This window comes from Homo sapiens, chromosome 5, assembly GCF_000001405.40.
Source record: "Homo sapiens chromosome 5, GRCh38.p14 Primary Assembly".
NCBI classification, from domain to species: domain Eukaryota; kingdom Metazoa; phylum Chordata; class Mammalia; order Primates; family Hominidae; genus Homo; species Homo sapiens.
The window spans coordinates 31,877,996-31,896,424 of NC_000005.10; the positions used below are offsets into that span (position 1 = coordinate 31,877,996).

At 46.5% G+C, this 18,429-nt stretch overlaps 1 protein-coding gene across 6 annotated transcripts in view, besides 4 other annotated features; it reads left to right on the forward strand.

Annotated features, from left to right (window-relative positions):
• The window catches only part of PDZD2 (PDZ domain containing 2), a 471,802-nt gene that overhangs the window by 238,865 nt on the left and 214,508 nt on the right, over positions 1 to 18,429 (forward strand). The gene's annotated exons all lie outside the window — the stretch shown is intronic.
• Positions 683 to 1,640: an enhancer, noted in NCBI's record as "H3K4me1 hESC enhancer chr5:31878784-31879741 (GRCh37/hg19 assembly coordinates)". NCBI's record gives its function as "activates a minimal SCP1, AML or CMV promoter by ChIP-STARR-seq in naive H9 embryonic stem cells {active_cell/tissue: H9 hESC(naive)}" and the evidence as "EXISTENCE:reporter gene assay evidence [ECO:0000049][PMID:30033119]".
• Positions 11,200 to 11,702: an enhancer, noted in NCBI's record as "NANOG-H3K27ac hESC enhancer chr5:31889301-31889803 (GRCh37/hg19 assembly coordinates)". NCBI's record gives its function as "activates a minimal SCP1, AML or CMV promoter by ChIP-STARR-seq in naive H9 embryonic stem cells {active_cell/tissue: H9 hESC(naive)}" and the evidence as "EXISTENCE:reporter gene assay evidence [ECO:0000049][PMID:30033119]".
• Positions 11,703 to 12,204: an enhancer, noted in NCBI's record as "NANOG-H3K27ac hESC enhancer chr5:31889804-31890305 (GRCh37/hg19 assembly coordinates)". NCBI's record gives its function as "activates a minimal SCP1, AML or CMV promoter by ChIP-STARR-seq in naive H9 embryonic stem cells {active_cell/tissue: H9 hESC(naive)}" and the evidence as "EXISTENCE:reporter gene assay evidence [ECO:0000049][PMID:30033119]".
• Positions 14,890 to 15,391: an enhancer, noted in NCBI's record as "H3K4me1 hESC enhancer chr5:31892991-31893492 (GRCh37/hg19 assembly coordinates)". NCBI's record gives its function as "activates a minimal SCP1, AML or CMV promoter by ChIP-STARR-seq in naive H9 embryonic stem cells {active_cell/tissue: H9 hESC(naive)}" and the evidence as "EXISTENCE:reporter gene assay evidence [ECO:0000049][PMID:30033119]".

Here is an 18,429-nt window from a genome sequence, read left to right on the forward strand (position 1 = left end):
GTTTATGAAGGTATCTTACAACTCTGTATTAATTAGGTCTAGTCCTAGTATTTTCATAGAGTGATAAATCAGAATGCAGAGATTTGAAGTGGTTTGCATTTTATTTTTTGAGACAAGGAGAAAAATACCATGACTGTAATTGATAAGCTCAACAAGCACCCTAGCACCTCACATGCTCAGATTGCTTATGGTTGGTGGTAACTGAAATGTGTGACAGATAGCAGAGCAAGCCTGGGAGCGCTATCCTGGGCCACTTCATCCACTGGAGATGCCCTCTGCTCCATGCCTTCCCCAGGGGCTTTTTTCTTGGTCCCTGACAACTGGATCCATCCCTTCCCAGTGCTCCCATCAACCAGCCTATTTTACTAGAATGTGCCTTTAAAAGCACTATTCTCTTTTTCTGAACTTCAGAAGAACATAGACAAGCCCAAGACCATGAATGGCATAGCTTGCTCTGAAGTTTCTGGGCCTCTTGCTTAGAGGGACCACAAATGAAGGATACCTGGAGAAGAGCATGGACACGTACAGGTCCTTTTCTTTGGTGGTCAGATGACCTCGGCTTTTTTTTTTTTTTTTTTTTTTTTGAGACGGAGTCTCGCTGTCGCCCAGGCTGGAGTGCAGTGGCGCGATCTCGGCTCACTGCAGGCTCCGCCCCCCGGGGTTCACGCCATTCTCCTGCCTCAGCCTCCTGAGTAGCTGGGACTACAGGCGCCCGCCACCTCGCCCAGCTAATTTTTTTGTATTTTTAGTAGAGACGGGGTTTCACTGTGTTAGCCAGGATGGTCTCGATCTCCTGACTTCGTGATCCGCCTGCCTCGGCCTCCCAAAGTGCTGGGATTACAGGCGTGAGCCACCGCGCCGGGCCGACCTCGGCTTATTTTGCAATTTGTTAGAAAATGGCTAACCCAGTGTTTAAATATCTGTTATTGTCTACCCTTCCTCCATTAGCTAACTAACTGCATAGACACGGCACTGTCCAACCATGTAGGTGGATCAGCAGTTGGACCAGGACATTGATATGGTCATTCACTGGGGGTGGCCACCCGTTTATATTCTAATTACTGTCAGTGGTGGAATGCTTAAATGGATGTTAAGAATGGACGTTTCTCGGGCCGGGCACGGTGGCTCACGTCTGTAATCCCAGCACTTTGGGAGGCCGAGGCGGGCGGATCACGAGGTCAAGAGATCGAGACCATCCTGGCTAACACGGTGAAATCCTGTCTCTACTAAAAATAGAAAAAATTAGCCGGGCGTGGTGGCGGGCGCCTGTAGTCCCACCTACTTGGGAGACTGAGCCTGGAGAATGGCGTGAACCTGGGAGGCCGAGCTTGCAGTGAGCATAGATCGTGCCATTGCACTCCAGCCTGGGCGACAGAGCGAGACTCTGTCTCAAAAAGGAAAAAAAAAAAAAAAATGGACGTTTCTCTTCAGGTATGACCCCAGCAAGTTGTCACACACACTATTTTTTTTTAGAGAATAAAGGCTAAGATTGAGAGTAACTGTAAGTTATTCTGATAGCTGTTTGCTGAGTCTCCTTTTAGCAGGATTTGCAGAGCATCTAGCATTCTTATGAATGGTCAAATCGGTTTCAGCAAGAGGCAAACTCAGTTTGTCCGCTGGTTGGTGTTTCGTGCCTACATTTCTATTGCCTTGTCCTTCCTTTTTCTTTCCTGTGCAGCAGCCTTCAGAGATTTATAAGGATTGGAGAATTTTTTCCCTTCCAAGGCAGATTTTAAAACGTTTTCTTCTTAGCTTTTCTCATTATCTTCAGGGTCTTTGTTAGATAGAGGAAAAAATGTTTATTTCTGGAATTGAAAAAAAAAGTGCCTTCAGTGACCAAACTGACCTGTGATTTAATCACTAGATCTGATTTTGGCTCTGCTAAACTGCTTACAGTTTTCTTAGCAATACCTGCCTTTTTTTTTTTTTTTTTTTAACACGGATTCTTGCTCTTGTTGCCCAGGTTGGAGTGCAATGGCACGATCTCAGCTCACCACAACCTCCGCCTCCCAGGTTCAAGCAATTCTCCTGCCTCAGCCTCCCAAGTAGCTGGGATGACAGGCGCCCACCACCACCACCACGCCTGGCTACTTTTTGTATTTTTTTTTAGTAGAGATGGGGTTTCACCATGTTGGCCAAGCTGGCCTTGAACTCCTCACCTCGTGATCCACCCACCTTGGCCTCCCAAAGTGCTTGGGATTACAGGCGTGAGCCACTGCACCCGGCCAATACCTGCCTTTAAAAGACGAGAGCAATGATGGACATTTTGTTTTATGCTTTATATGAAACTCCATTAAGATTTTTCAAATTTGGCTAATTTGAAGACACAGATGATTAAATTATTATTCAAATCCTTGAGGGCATATCAAGATTCCATGCCACGTGGATTGCCCATGTCTCAACATTCTGCTGTATATAGGGCATTTCATCGCTGCTTCAATAGTCCTCTGTATGAATGGATAGAAGTAAGCTCGTTCAAAATTCTATGAACAGAATGTTTTCTCTTTCTTGCTTTTCCAGAGTTGGCTTTAGCTTTTATCCTCATTTGCAGAGATCAAAATCTGATCTGCAGGAACCCTATTTTGATTGGCTGTTGGGCATTCATAGCTCTGTACTAAATACCAATGTATGAAATAGTTATTGTTCCCTGGAGTGGTGGGTCTGGGCCAGAACACATTCTTTTTGATTTCAAGGGGGCCAAATGGAAGCTGTAAATATCCTGGCAGCCAAGTCGGGTAAACATGAGCTCTTATAACCTCAGACACAGAGTAGAAAGGTAGCTTTCTTTTTTTTTTCTTTTTTTTTTTTTTTTTTTTTTTTTTTGAGATGAAGTCTCGCTCTTGTCACCCAGGCTGGAGTGCAATGGTGCAATCTCGGCGCACTGCAACCTCCGCCTCCCAGGTTCAAGCGATTCTCCTGCCTCAGCCTCCCGAGTAGCTGGGATTACAGGCGCCTACCACCATGCCCGGCTAATTTCTGTATTTTTAGTAGAGACGGGGTTTCACCACGTTGGCCAGCCTGGTCTCGAACTCCTGACCTTGTGATACGCCCGCCTAGGCCTCCCAAAATGCTGGGATTACAGGCATATGCCACCACGCCTGGCTGAAAGGTAGCTTTCTGGCTATGGTTTAGAACTGGGATCTCTGATCAGCAGGTTGGCATTTAACTGAAAGCTGTTCATAAATCTTTTTCTCTGTGGTCTAGGAGTTCTAAGACCTACATCTAATAGTTGCCATTATGATTGGATTTGACTTGCTTTGTAAATTAGGGTTAGTCTCCCAGGAATGTGTTTTTAATGACACTGACTTGTCTCATCCCATTTCCATATATATGTGTGTGTGTGTGTGTGTGTGTGTGTGTGTGTGTGTGTGTGTATATATTTTTTTTTTTTTTGAGATGGAGTTTTGCTCTTATTGCCCAGGCTGGAGTTGGAGTGCAATGGTGCGATCTCAGCTCACTGCAACCTCTGCCTCCCAGATTTAAGCCATTCTCCTGCCTCAGCCTCCCCAGTAGCTGGCACTACAGGCCCATGCTACCATGCCTGGCAAATTTTATTGTATTTAGTAGAGACGGGGTTTCACCATGTTGGCCAGACTGGTCTCAAACTCCTGACCTCAGGCGATCCACCCACCTCAGCTTCCCAGAGTGCTGGAATTACAGGCGTGAGCCACTGTGCCGGGGCATGCATATACATAATACAATACACACACATATATATATACACACACATTTTTTTTTGAGATGGTGTCTCACTCTGTCACTCAGGCTGGAGTGCAGTGGCACGATCTCAGCTCACTGCATCTCCGCCTCCTGGGTTTAAGTGATTCTCCTGCCTCAGCCTCCCGAGTAGCTGGGACTACACGCATGCATCACCATGCCTGGCTAATTCCTTTGGTACTTTTTAGTAGAGACGGGGTTTCTCCACGTTGGCCAGGCTGGTCTCGAACTCCTGACCTCAAGTGATCCACCCACCTCGGTCTCCCAAAGTGCTGGGATTACAGGTGAGAGCCACTGTGCCCAGCCCCATTTCCTTATATTTAATAGTGCTTAGTTTGACTCCATCCCGTTATTCTGGGTGTGTAAAAACCCATCCTAAAAGTTGACAGCTTAATGGACCATCATAACTGATAAACTCTAGTGATTCCATTTGTGTGGCATTACGCTAAGCCACATGCATACATCGACACTAATCCTTTCCACTGTTATGAAGCATAAGGCCTATTGCTGTGTCCTCTTAACAGAGGAGGAAGCTCAGACTTAGATCCCATAAGTGGCTCACCTCCTTAAGTTCCCACAGTTGGAGTTAGAAGAATAGCAGGCAAGAGAAAAGGACCTCAGACCAAAACACAACTGATCGAGGCTGCCCCATCTCTCCTGGGATTTTTATAAAGGGCCCCTCAAGTACCAAATTCCTGTAAAACACAGGGATAATAATTAGAAGCCTGGACAGTTCCATAAAGAAGGGGAGAGGGAGGAGAGGGTGTTTTCAGCAGTATTGCTCTCACTTATTCCATGTGGATTATTATCCAGACCCTGAGATTTCTGCCTGCCTTCCACTTTTCAGACCATTCACGAATGGACCAGCTATTCTAGCAAAGGTTACATTAATAAATGCAGTTGAAATTTTTAAAAATAAGTAAATTGGATCATTTTAGGCTTGCTTTTAGCTGTAGTGAATAGTTTTGGAGGTAATGGTTGAAGTTATTTAGCAAATATTTATTGAAACCTACAATTTAAAAGGCCCAGGTCTGGGCCAGATACAGTGGCTCACATCTAAAATCCCAGCACTTTGGGAGGCCGAGGTGGGCGGATCACTTGAGGCCAGGAGTTGGAGACCAGCCTAGCCAACATGGTGAAAGCCAGTCTCCGCTAAAAATAACAAAAGTTAGCTGAGCCTGATTGTGAGTGTCTGTAATCCCAGCTACATGGGAGGCTGAGGCACGAGAATCGCTTGAACCCTGGAGGCAGAGGTTGCAGTGAGCCAAGATCCTGCCACTGCATTCCATCCTGGGTGACAGACTCTGTCTCAAAAAAAAAAAAAAAAAAAAAAAAAGGCCCAGGGGGCATAAGAAAGAAGGACAGATAAGAATTCCCTGCTCTCAGGGAGCTTATATTGTGATGGGGAGAGACAGGAAGTTAATGCATTAATAACTAGACAGTCATGATAAATATTCATTAAAATGAGTTTTGAGTGAAATTATGAGTTTATTAGCATGCTACCTTTTTTTTTTTTTTTTTTTTTTGAGATGGAGTCTCACTCTGTCGCCCAGGCTGGAGTGCAGTGGCACAATCTCAGCTCACTTTAGCTTCTGCCTACTGGGTTCAAACGATTCTCCTGCCTCAGCCTCCTGAGTAGCTGGGATTACAGGTGTGTACCACCAGGCCGGTTTAGTTTTTGTATTTTTAGTAGAGATGGGGTTTTGCCAAGTTGGCCAGGCTGGTCTCAAACTCCTGACCTCAGGTAATCTGCCCACCTCGACCTCCCAGAGAGCTGGGACTACAGGCATGAGCCACCGTGTCTGGCCAGCATGCTACTTTTTCTTTGAAAGAAAAGTACATGAATCAGATGCTAAGTTGCTGAGTTTTGTTTTCAGATCAAATTTGAATTAACCAATCCTCTGTAATTTTTTTTTTTTTTTTTGAGACAGATTCTCACTCTGTCACCCAGGCTGGAGTGCAGTGGCTTAATCTCGGCTCATTGCAACTTCCACCTCTCATGCCTCAGCCTTTTGAGTAGCTGGGATTACAGGTGCCTGCCACCATGCGGGGCTAATTTTTGTATTTTTAGTAGGGGTGAGGTTTCGCTGTGTTGGCCAGGATGGTCTGGAACTCCTGGCTTCAACCGATCTGCCTATCTCACCTCCCAAAGTGCTGAGATTACAGGCGTGGGCCACAGTGCCTGGCCCTATTCTCTATAATTTAAATCCTGTGTTAAGGCCGGGCGCGGTGGCTCCCGCATGTTATCCCAGCACTTTGGGAGGCCGAAGAGGACAGATCACCTGAGGTCAGGAGCTTGAGTCCAGCCTGGCCAATGTGGTGAAATCCCATCTGTACTAAAAATACAAAAATTAGCTGGGTGTGGTAGCAGGTGCCTGTAATCCCAACTACTCAGGAGGCTGAGGCCGGAGAATCGCTTGAACCCAGGAGGCTGAGGTTGCAGTGAGCTGAGATTGCTCCATTGCACTCCAGCTTGGGCAACAGAGCGAGACTCCATCTCAAAAATAACTGCATGCATGCATACATACATACATACATACATACATACATCCTGGGTTGGGTTCACAGACACGTAACAGAGACCTTAGGTCTGGCCGATCTTGTTTCTGTTAGGAGGCCTTAGGCTTATCCCTCTGGTGGCTTTTATCCTAGATTTCTTCATTTGTTACATGAGGGAATTGGACTGAATCTGTGGTTTCAAATTCTGCTCTTAGAAGCTCTGAGAAACACTTTGGAATCAAGATAGAGGAATTGGTGAGACCCTAGGATGCCCATTCAGCCTCAGCCAGGGCAGGTCTGCTGTTGTCTGCTGTTTGGGATTCCACTGCACTCCAGAAAGGATTCTACTGTTGACAACAATTTGGACGTCATTGTATTGTGTTTTTTTTTGTTTTGAAGCAGAGTCTTGCTCTGTCACCCAGGCTGGAGTGCAATGGCGCGATCTCGGCTCACTGCAACCTCCATCTCCCAGGTTTAGGCGATTCTCCTGCCTCAGGCTGTCAAGTACTGGGACTACAAGTGCCCGCCACCATTCCTGGCTAATTTTTGTGTTTTTAGTACAGATGGGGTTTTGCCATCCACCACCACTCCTGGCTAATTTTTTTATTTTTAGTAGAGATAGAGTTTTGCCATGTTGGCCAGGCTGGTTTCAAACTCTTGGCCTCAAATGATCCACCCACCTCAGCCTCCCAAAGTGCTGGGATTATAGGTATGAGCCACTGTGCCTGGCCGGCCACTATATTGTTAATAGGAAGCTACCACATTGTTTGTGGGACGATGCCATAAGTAAAGTTTTAAAGTGATAGACCAAGAGAAACGTACAAAACAGAATAGATGATGGATTAAGTGAATACATAAAAATGTGTAAGTTAATGAGTAAAATACCCAGAAGAAAAACGGGTGGAGTGTATGAAATGGCAACTCCCAGAAGAAAAAGTGCAAACGGCAAAAAAAAAAAAAAAGAAAAAGAAAAAAATGCTTGAGCTGTTAGGTAATCAGAGAAATGCCAATCAAAGCAGTGGGATTTTTTTTTTTAATACTACTCTTTACTATCCAATTTAGACAATGTTAGAATTAAGGTTAGGCTTAGGTAAAAAATTAAGAATGATAGAAGCAAGCAGGGTAGAGTTCGGGTCTTTGTATACTGTCAGAGTGAGACACGTCACAGGTATTTTGTCATCTGTTAAAATTGTACATATTCTTTGACCCAGAAATTGTACTTCTAGAATTGTGTTCTAAAGAAGTACTTGCATCTGAACACATATTCACTCCAGAAGTGTTTGAAATGGGGACAAATGAAAACTAAACATTTATCAAAAGAATGAATAAAATATGTAAGTCCACATTACAGAATACTATGTGGCAATTTCAAAGAAGGAAGTGCATTTTTTTATATGGATGTAGTGATCTCTAAAACATCTCTCCCTAATCAGCCACAAATGTAAAAAAAGAAAAATAATAAAACATATCACTAAGGAAAGAGAAACATAGTATAGCATAAGTACACTATGTAGCCATTAAGTCAAGTGATGATTTTTTTTCTATACGAATATAGCATTAGATAAATGCTGTGTCCAGAAGGTTGACATGAAAACCAGAAAACAGCAATTATCTTGGGAAAAGAGAGTAGAATTAGGGAGGAGATTAAGCATTATCCGTATAGTTTGTTTTTGGTTTTTTTGTTTGTTGTTTTTGAGTTAGTTTTTTGGTTTTTTTTTTTAAAATAATTTCTCTTTTTCTCCAGGCTGGAGTGCAGTGGCTCACTGCAGCCTCTGCCTCCCGGGTTCAAGTGATTCTCCTGCATCAGCCTCCCAAGTAGCTGGGATTACAGGCACCCACCACCACACCTGGCTAATTTTGTATTTTTAGTAGAGACAGGGTTTCACCATGTTGGCCAGGCTGGTCTGTAACTCCTGACCTTAGTTGATCCGCCTGTCTTGGCCTCCCAAAGTGCTGAGGTTACAGGCGTGAGCCACTGTGCCCAGCCATTGTCTATACAGTTTGAATAACACACTGAAAAAACAGATCAGTGCATATCTTCCACAATTAACAATGCATTTGTTTAGAGCATGTTGCTGCATTGGGTGAACTCTCAGGCTGGCAGCGACTCCAAGCTTTGGTTGAGTTTGCTAGTGCCAAGTTGTTTATGTGCCTCCCCTTGGCCCCTTCCTTCCCTGCCACTCCTTCTTCCTCCCAGCTTGCTGAGCTTGCTGCCCGGACTCCCTTCCTCTCTCCTCTCTCCTCTCTGCTGAGGTTCTGCCCGCTGGAGAAATTCCTCCCTTTGCCCCTCCACCCTTCTGAGAACTGTGGGTTGTCAGGAGACCAGGAAACTCCCTGATGGAAACTGCTTTTGTGAAGGATGCTGAGATGTGTGGGCCCTCAGCCACGGCCCAGGGTGGAATTGAGGTCTTATTGGAGGACCCAGTGACTGTTACAGGTAGAGCCCAGAGGCACTTCTGCATCAGGTAGATTCTGCACTTGTCTCTGTCTCTTTTTTTTTTTTTGAGACGGAGTCTTGCTCTGTCGCTCAGGCTGGAGTGCAGTGGTGCGATCTCGGCTCACTGCAAACTCCGCCTCCCGGGTTCACGCCATTCTCCTGCCTCAGCCTCCCGAGTAGCTGGCACTACAGGCGCCTGCCACCACACCCAGCTATTTTTTTGTATTTTTAGTAGAGACGGGGTTTCACCACATTGGCCAGGCTGGTCTTAAACTCCTGACCTCAGGTGATCCGCCTGCCTCGGCCTCCTGAAGTGCTGGAATTGTAGGCGTGAGCCACCACGCCTGGTCTCTGTACTTATCTCTTGAATGCCGCCTGGGTGCAAGAACCAGTGCCAGGCTGTGCCATGCATAGTTGGACTGGGCTGTTCCTTCTGTGCTTGCTTCCTTAATGTTTGCTATGGGCTGGGCTCATTCTTACTGTGGATTTCTGTATGTTGACCAGTTCAATGAGTTCTGAAAATCCTACAACGTAGTGGATATTTTTAAGTACACACTTGGTAGGCTCTAGGGGAAAAGCAGATTTTACACACGCACACACAAACACACATACACACACAAAATCGATATGTAGTGTGAATGGAGAGGCAGTGACAGAGTGGGAATTGTGTTAGGAAAGTGACTCTTGCTTCAGAAATGCTTGGAGCACTTTTGGTGTCCTGGGTCACCCTCTCTGGAAGGACTTTGGGTGTCAGTGGAGAGACCACATTCGGAGCCTGAGAGTGGTGTGCACTTTCATCCACAGGCTTAATTTTGTTTCATTTTGCTTTTTGAGATGGAGAAAGCAGTGTTGAGGATGGAGGAGAGCTAGGAGGTTGGCAGCTTTTCCAATAGGAACCATTTTTACAGCAGAGAAGTGCCATTCCTGAGATCTGCAGAGTCTGCTTCTCTCCTCTCACTGTCCTGATTATCAATTGTCCGTTGTTCTGTTGGAACAATAGGGCTGATTTTTCTGTAGGAATCTGACAAAATTTCGCATAGCTGTACAGAGAACTGCCAGTTAGGGGGACAGTGTCAAGAATGACACAGGCTCAAATACTGAGGGTTGCCTGTGCATGCCCTGTGTCTCAAAACTGTCCTACGCTTTGCTTTCAGTCATCAGTTTTATGTGCGGGGGAGGGGGGGAACAGCACTTTTTCTAAAGGAAAAATAAAATGGATTGGTCTGTGGGGGGACAGTTACACATAGCTTTGAAAGGCTGCTTAGCCGAAGAGTGGCGAGAGTCGGGGAGGGAGTGGGAGTTGTTCAGCATTGTTAACTTCCAACATACGATGGGCATTTGGGCACATCAGAGGGATACAACCCTATTTTTCGAGCCTGGGTTCCAGGGGTGCAGCTGTTTTGGGCCATTTACAGCAGTGGAATTTGGATGGCGCAGATATTGCCCATAGAAGCTTTGCCTGCCTGCCTTCCTTTCTTGTTTTGTTTCCTTTTCTTTTTCTTTTTTATTTTCTCTTCTTTCCTCTTTTCTTCTCTTCTCTTTTCTCTTTCCTTCCTTCCTTCCCTTCCTTCCCTCCCTCTGTCACCCAGGCTGGAGTGCAGTGCTATGATCTCAGCTCACTGCAACTTCCGCCTACTGGGTTCAAGTAATTCTCCTGCCTCAGCCTCCTGAGTAGCTGGGATTACAGGCGTGCCGCCATGCTTGGCTTAATTTTTGTATTTGTAGTAGAGATGGGGTTTCACCATGTTGGCCAGGCTGGTCTCAAACTCCTGACCTCAGGTGATCTGCCTGCCTCCGCCTCCCAAAGTGCTGGGATTACAGGTGTGAGCCACCGCACCCGGCCCCATTGAAGGTTTTCTAAAAAGAAAATGGGATTGGATTGGTCAGGGCTACGTACTCCGATTTGTGAGGCAGTGGTGTCTTTGTAGGCTTGGCTGTTAATGAGGTGGTTTATACTCTACAAGGCATGTGAAATTATTTGAGGGAGAGAGGAGAATGTGTTTTTCTAACCCTTACTATGTCCTAAACACAGAGGGTAATCAATAACCAACTGTTGAGGATGTAGTTTTTCTTAACACTAAATCATTCCCTGAGAGAAGTCCGTAAGCTTGACTGATTTTAACTGCCTGTGAGTTGGAAATCTTTGATAAATGCTCTGAGGGATAGGAAGTCAGTCTGGGATGATACAGGGCATGGGATCTCACCATCGGGAGAGTGGTCCCATTCGATAATGGGAAAAACTCATGTTGGATGGAATGGAAATGTTCCCAGTCAAGATACCCTCATGCCCAGAGCCAGGAGAAACTTTAGACCAACCTCCGTCGGCTTCAGTTTCTCCTTCCTCAGTTTCTTGATGCTCCTCCCCGAGCCCCCTCCCCTATCACGTATGTTTTGCGGGTTGTTCTGTTGTTTGTCTTTGAAAAGATTGATTTATACATTTGTACAGAAAATCCCAGAGCCTTTTCCTCTTAATGCTATAAAGTTGCTATTTAATGAGGCGTTTGGAAGGCCACCCAGCCACTTGAAATCTGAAGTGTCACGCTGAGGGATTGTTACCAAGAAGTATTTACATTGGAGCCGTGGTTTTAGCTCTCTTTTGGCAATTGATTAATTTAGTGCGAGAGCCAATAAATCCCTGGACAGATGAGGAACAGATTGGAGGGGAGGAGCTTCTGTTTCGGCCTTTTCTTTTGGAATGCTTTTAACACTTGGCCAGGGGAGGACTGTGTCCTTTTGTTTTGTTAAATAGTTCAAGTTGGCCATTTTCTGGTGCTGTTCAGAAAGGCCTGTCAGGCCAACAGGAGGGAAGTGATTGGTTGTCCTGGACCCTGGCTTTGCACAGACCTCACACTCCTGTTGAGAAAATGTTTGAAATGCATTCTCTTAAAAGTAGGACTGTGTAAATAATAGATTAGGTCTGAAAGGGCCATCTGAGTATAAAGGCAGTGGGAGCCAAGGGGGAAAAGCCCTTTACTCGCCAACACTTGCTTTAAGTGTCATCTTTCTAGAATTTGAAAGAGGGCCTGGTGGTGGCCTTACTGTGTCCGAGTAAGGGACTCCTCTTCTTGGAGGCATTAAGACACACGGGGGCCGGGTGCAGTGGCTCACGCTTGTAATCCCAATACTTCTGGGAGGCTGAGGTGGGCAGATCTTTTGAGGTCAGGAGTTCGAGACCAGCTTGGCCAACATGGTGAAACCCCCGTCTCTACTAAATGTACAAAAATTAGCCGGGTGTGGTAGTGCACACCTTGTAATCTCAGCTACTCGGGAGATTGAGGCAGGAGAATTGCTTGAACCCGGGGGGGCAGAGGTTGCAGTGAGCCCAGATAGTGTCACTGCACTCCAGCCTGGGCGACAGAGTGAGACACTGTCCCCCCTCCAAAAGCAAAAACAAACACCCCCCCACCCCCACCAAAACAAACAAACAAAACCGTAAGAAACATTGCCCTCCTGAGCATTGACAAGGCTGGGTTGTTCTTTTTTGTGATTTTTTTTTTTTTTTTTTTGTGGAGAGAAATCCAAGAGAAGCTGTGGAGCAGCACTGTCCAATAAAACTTAATGGGCGATGGCGGTGTTCTTTCTGTGAGGTGGCCAATACGGCAGCCACTAGCCACGTGTGAAATGTGACGCACATGACCCAAGAATTGAATTTTTCATTTTAATTAGGTTTAAATAGCAGCATGTGGTGAGGGTGTATGGTATTGGACAGCGCAGTTCTGTGGTGGCTTTTTAATACTTTTGCAAAATAACTCTTTAACCCCCTTTGATTTTCACAGCCTGCTCACAAGGGACAGAGGTTTGGTAGAGGGTCGATTCCCGGTAGGGAAAAATGAAGAAACCAAATGAATGGTTCAGATCGTGGACTAATAAAAACAGCCGAGCCGGGCCTAGAGCCAGGGCCCCTTCTTCCCTGACTCCAGCCCCTCAGAACCCAGCTTTAGATGTTAATTGCTAGTACTACTTAGCAGGGGACCCCAACCACAAAGAGAAGGCTGGCTTAACATCTGGAATCTTGGCTGTGGGCTGTGTATTTAATCTTCTCCTTTTAAATCAAACAGGCTTAATGAGTGGCGAGAGTTGGGAAGTCCCTGTGGGCCCCTAAATCCAAGGAGGAGTTTCTCTGGAACCAGAGGAAACAGGCCAGACAGGTGGAAACAGTAACTCCCCTCCCTCTTGGCCGCCTTTGCATGGCCCTGTCTGTGGCAATTAGAAGCAGAGAAGGACCTGTGGAGACTTGTGGTCCTAGTCTATCTTTCATACCCTGTAAAAAGGCCAGACCCCAGGACAAATGGCATCCACTTGGATAATTCCGATGCTGTCAGTGCGTCTGGCAACCGTATTAACACGCCCCTTGCCGCACCGTATCAACCAGAACCCTGAGCTGAGTGCCTTAATTGGCTCCAGCTCCAACCTCACCTTCTCATTCTCGCTGCTTCCTCTCATCCTGGAGGATTGTAAGCAAAGCTCAGGGGTTTTTCCTTTTTTTTTTTTTTTTTTTTTTTTTTTGAGACGGAGTCTCGCTCTGTCGCCCAGGCTGGAGTGCAATGGCGCGATCTCGGCTCACTGCCATCTCAGCCTCCTGGATTCAAGTGATTCTCCTGCCTCAGCCTCCTGAGTAGCTGGGGCTATAGACATGTGCCACCATGCCCGGCTAATTTTTGTATTTTTATTTTTATTTATTTTTTGAGACAAAGTTTCATTCTTGTTGCCCAGGCTGGAATGCAGTGGCATGGTCTCGGCTCACCGCAACTTCGCCTCCCAGGTTCAAGTGATTCTCCTCCCTCAGCCTCCCTTACAGCTGGGATTATAGGCATGTGCCACCACGCCCAGCTAATTTTGTATTTTTAGTAGAGACGAGGTTTCTCCATGTTGGTCAGGCTGATCTCGAACTCCTGATCTCAGGTGATCCGCCCGCCTCTGCCTCCCAAAGTGTTGGGATTACAGGCATGAGCCACCATGCCCGGCCGGTTTTTCCATTTCTAAGGGCACTGGAGAAGTGGCATTGTGGGCAGGGTACTGAGCCACCGAGGCAGGGAGGTCCAGGGTGGAATGGTGAATGCTCACCAACGCTGTCAATCCGAGCAGAGCTTTCCCCACTGCTCCCAATACATTTTAGCCATTGCCAGCCTCACCCTGTGCCCAGATCATGCCAGTGTGCTCAGTGGAGCCAAGGAGAGTGAAGACTGATACTGTTACCAAAGGGTTAATGAGATAGTTAGGAAATCTGCTGTGACAAATCCAAGCTACCTCTACCAGTCATGCCTTCTTTTTTTTTGCGGGGGGACAGGGTCTCACCCTGTTGCCCAGGCTGGACTGCAGTAGTGCGATCATAGCTCACTGCAGCTTCAACCTCCCAGGCTCTGACAATCCTTCTGCCTCAGCCTCCTGAGTAGCTGTGACCACAGGTGTGCACCACCATGCCTGGCTAATTTTTTTTATTTTTTGTAGAGATGTCTCATAATGATGCCCAGGCTGGCCTTGAACTCCTGGGGTTCAAGCATTTCTCCTGCCTCAGCCTCCCAAAGTGCTGGGATTACAGGCATGAGACACTGTGCCTGGCCCCAAACTCTTAACAAAACTAATTTCTGGATTACCTTCTCCTCAAGGTCTATCTACCCAGCTCCCTAATGTACCTATTGCTCTGCTGACCAGCAATAACCACAGCAGGTCAAAGGACATGATCTTAAAAATAAGACTCATAAACCAAGAGCAAGATGTATTTACTGTTTACTGACAGGGTGATCATAGGATTTATTGCACACACAGGGCACCTCTGAGAGTGAAGGAGAGCACTGATAATTAGGCTGGGATAACCAGTTTAAACCAGGATGATCCAAGAACAACAGGGCAGGTTGGGCATCTACTGTGTGCCAGGCTGTGCCTGAGTTTGGGGTACACAGGTGTAGTGGGCCTAGTTTCTTTTGTGGCGGGGGTGGTGTAGGGGAGTCTTGCCCTGTCACCCAGGCTGGAGTGCAGTGGCGAGACCACAGCTCACTGCAGCCTCGACATCCCGGACTCAAGTGATCCTCCCACCTCATCCTCCCGAGTAGCTAGGTCAACAGGTGTGCACCACCACACCCGGCTAATTTTTTGTATTGTGGGTGGGCGGGGGGGGTCTCACTATGTTGCTAAGGCTGGTTTTGAACTTCTGGGCTCCAGCAGTCCTCCTGCCTCGGCCTCCTAAAGTGCTGGGATTACAGGTGTGTGCCACTGTGCCCAGCTGGGCCTAGTTTCTTATGGAGCTCACAGCCTGACGGTGGAGACAGGTGTGTAGACACACGCAGTGCTACAGCATGGGTGCTGAAACAGGTGTGAACAAAGTGTGGCGTGGGAGGAGCAATGGAGAGGGCAAGGGAGGGTTTTCCTAGAGGGAAGCAGACAAAAACTAAGCTTTTCTTTTTCCTGTCTTGGCTTATTTCTCCAAGAAAGAATATTTTTTTGGATAATCTTGAAACTATTAAACTTGTACCCACTGACCAGGACCTTTCGCCCTTGCCCTTGTGAGGGTTGTTTGTGTAGGCCTTGGCAGAATCACATCTTGGTGAAGACCATAGATAGCAGCAGTCCTTGAGACCATCCTGTCCCCACGTTACTGCTTAGCCTGCCATTGATTGTGGTTCGCATTTAAAAACAAAAACCTGGCTGGGCGCGGTGGCTCGTGCCTGTAATCTCAGCACTTTGGGAGACCAAGGTGGGCGGATTGCTTGACCCCAGGAGTTCAAGACCAGCCTGGGCAACATGGTGAAAACCCGTCTCTACAAAAAACAAAAATTAGCCACACGTGGTGGTCCACACTTGTAGTCCCAGCTACTCAGGAGGGCTGAGGCACGAGAATCACTTGAACCTGGGAGGCAGAGGTTACAGTGAGCTGAGATTGCATCACTGCAGTCCAGCCTGGGTGACAGAGCGAGACTCTGTCTCAAAACAAACAAAAAGACAAAAAAAACAGGTGGATAATGAATTTCCATGAGTATAAAGAGATTTTCCGGTGGAATAAATGTAGCGATCAGCTATGTCTAAGTCTGTCTTAAAGTATAAATCACCTTGTGTAGGCTCTTATTCTATTCTTCTTATACTGGGGACTGTTTAGTTTCTCAGCAGGGATTGTGTATGTATGTGTCTGTGTGCTACAGTTACTAAAAATTTCAGACTAGTTAGAAAAAATTGGCTTAGACATTTGTTCACATGAAGTTGTACAGAAATTCCTGGGTTTGGTCTGATAATCAGCACATTTATTTATTTATTTATTTATTTATTTATTTTGAGACGGAGTTTCACTCTTGTAGCCCAGGCTGAAGTGCAATGGTGCAATCTTGGCTCACTGCAACCTCCACCTCCCGGGTTCAAGTGATTCTCCTGCCTCACCTTCCCGAGTAGCTGGGATTACAGGCATGCGCCACCACGCCCAGCTTTTTTTTTTTTTTTTTTTTTTTTTTGGATTTTTATTAGAGACAGGGTTTCACCATGTTGGCTAGGCTGGTCTTGAACTCCTGACCACAGGTGATCCACTCATCTCAGCCTCCCAAAGTGCTGGGGTTACAGACGTGAGCCACCGTGCTCGGCCAGCACATTGCATTTTAAGGGTGCTCTATATTAGTGGAATTTGCACTGAAGTTTCGACCAAAAGACATTTAGTCTTCAACCTTTCATTCCCCTAAGCTCTGGCCACAGCTGCAGCTGCAGCTGCATCTGGTGTACTCTTGAATGGACTGGAAGCCTGGCACGGTGGGGTGTAGGATTTCAACAGTGGTCTCAGTCCAGATTTTCCTGCTGTGGGCTGAGTGACATCAAGGAGATAGGGCCGTTCTTGATGTTTTTTTCCCTTCCAGCTTTTATGTATTGCACTAATTTAAGATCAGAATTACTTTAAAAAAATAATCTTTAAAGGGAAAATTCTCTTCAATCCCACCACTCAGTACATACCAAGTATATTTTGCTTTTCCAAGCGCTTCCAGACCCCTGTCCGCATGTACACTTATAACATGGTTATAATTAGCGTGTGTCCTGACTTCATTTTATTCTGGTTTTTCTATAGTCTAAAATTAAGTTTGGGGTGAGCTGGTGTGACCTGAAGGGTTGAAAGATAATGTCGTAAGTATGGCTGTATCCTCAGCCCAATGCTGCACGAGGGAAATGCCCCAGAAGGGGAACCAAAGGGTTGTTCAAGTGCTAGACAGTTATTCTGGAGTTTGTTACCTCATTTTCTCAATCTTGTCCCAGTCTTGCTCTCCTTTCCCTTTCCCTTCCCTTCCCTTCCCTTGATGGAGTCTCACCCCATGGCCCAGGCTGGAGTTGCCATAGCATGATCTCGGCTCACCGCAACCTCCGCCTCCTGGGTTCAGCTGATTGTTCTGCCTCAGCCTCCCGAGTAGCTGGGATTACAGGCACCCGCCACCACGCCCACCTAATTTTTGTATTTTTAGTAGAGACGGGATTTCACCATGTTGGCCAGGCTGGTCTCAAACTCCTAACCTCGTGATCTGCCCTCCTCGGCCTCCCAAAGTGCTAGGATTACAGGCGTGAGCCACCGTGCCTGGCCGCCCTTTCTTTCTTTTGCCAAGTGCAATGGACTGAATGTTTTTGTCCCCCTACAGTCCATTTGTTGAAATCCTAACCCTGAAGGTTGAGGGTATCAGGAGGTGGGGCTTTTTGGAGGCACTTAGGTTGGAGGGTAGAGCTCTCATGAATGGGATGAGTGCCATTATGAATGAGGCCTGAGAAAGACTCCTTATCTCCTCTGTCATGTGAGGATACAGCTGGAAGACAGCCATCTATGAATGACCTCTCACCAGGTACTGCCAGTACCTTGATCTTGGCCTTCCTGGCCCCAGAACTGTGAGAAATACATTTCTACTGTTCATAAGCTACCCAGCCTATGATATTTTGTGATAGCAGCCCAGATGGAAGAAGATACCAAGATACTTTTAGCTCACTGACATGTCTTCTGTTGGGATTTGTCAGAAAGAGGATCTTCTCATTTGGCTGAGCTGATAGAGTGACTTTAAATTCTGCCCAGAGCCTTACATGAACATATTGTAAATCCCCTTCCTCGTTTTTTCACTCAGCCACAAAATACACATACCTCCCTCATGAAGGCGCCTCTACCTTTTCCCTTCCTCCCTCTGTCTGCTCCCACCCCTTCCAAAAGACAGTGTTATTATGTTGATGCCTGAGCAGCGTAGCCTTTTCCCCACCCTGCCTCTGTCCTTTCTTCATGGCTGTAGATAATAGGTGCCATGTTTCAGCCTCTGTTGGGGAACTGGCTTTACTAAGCTCCAGCGATGTGCCAGGGCTTTTTCATACATTCTCACTGTAACCCCCCCAGCCACACTATGCAATAGCGATTTGTTCCACTTTGCCCATGTGGAAGCTGCAGGTTGGAATTTTAAGAATTGTGCCCAAGGACACAGACTTGGGAACAGTAGGATCCAGAGCTGGCTGACTTCAGATCCTGGCATTCTCCATTGGACCATGCTTGCACGTGACCCTCTCTGACACCTCCCAGGTATTGTGACGGAAAGGTAAAAAATAAATACACTACTCTAGGCATGTAACTGTGAGGTGGGGTAGAGACTTGAGAGTCCATGTCAGCTGGTTTCTTGGGGGTAACTGCTGGCAGAGTTAGCTCATCCTAGGTGACTTTATTGCCTCATCAGATTCCTATTTGATACTCTCGTGTGTGTGTGTGTGTGTGTGTGTGTGTGTGTGTGTGTGTGTGTATGTGTGTGTGTGAAATATCCACCTACCTAGGGTCACAGTTTAGTGCCTAGGTCTTG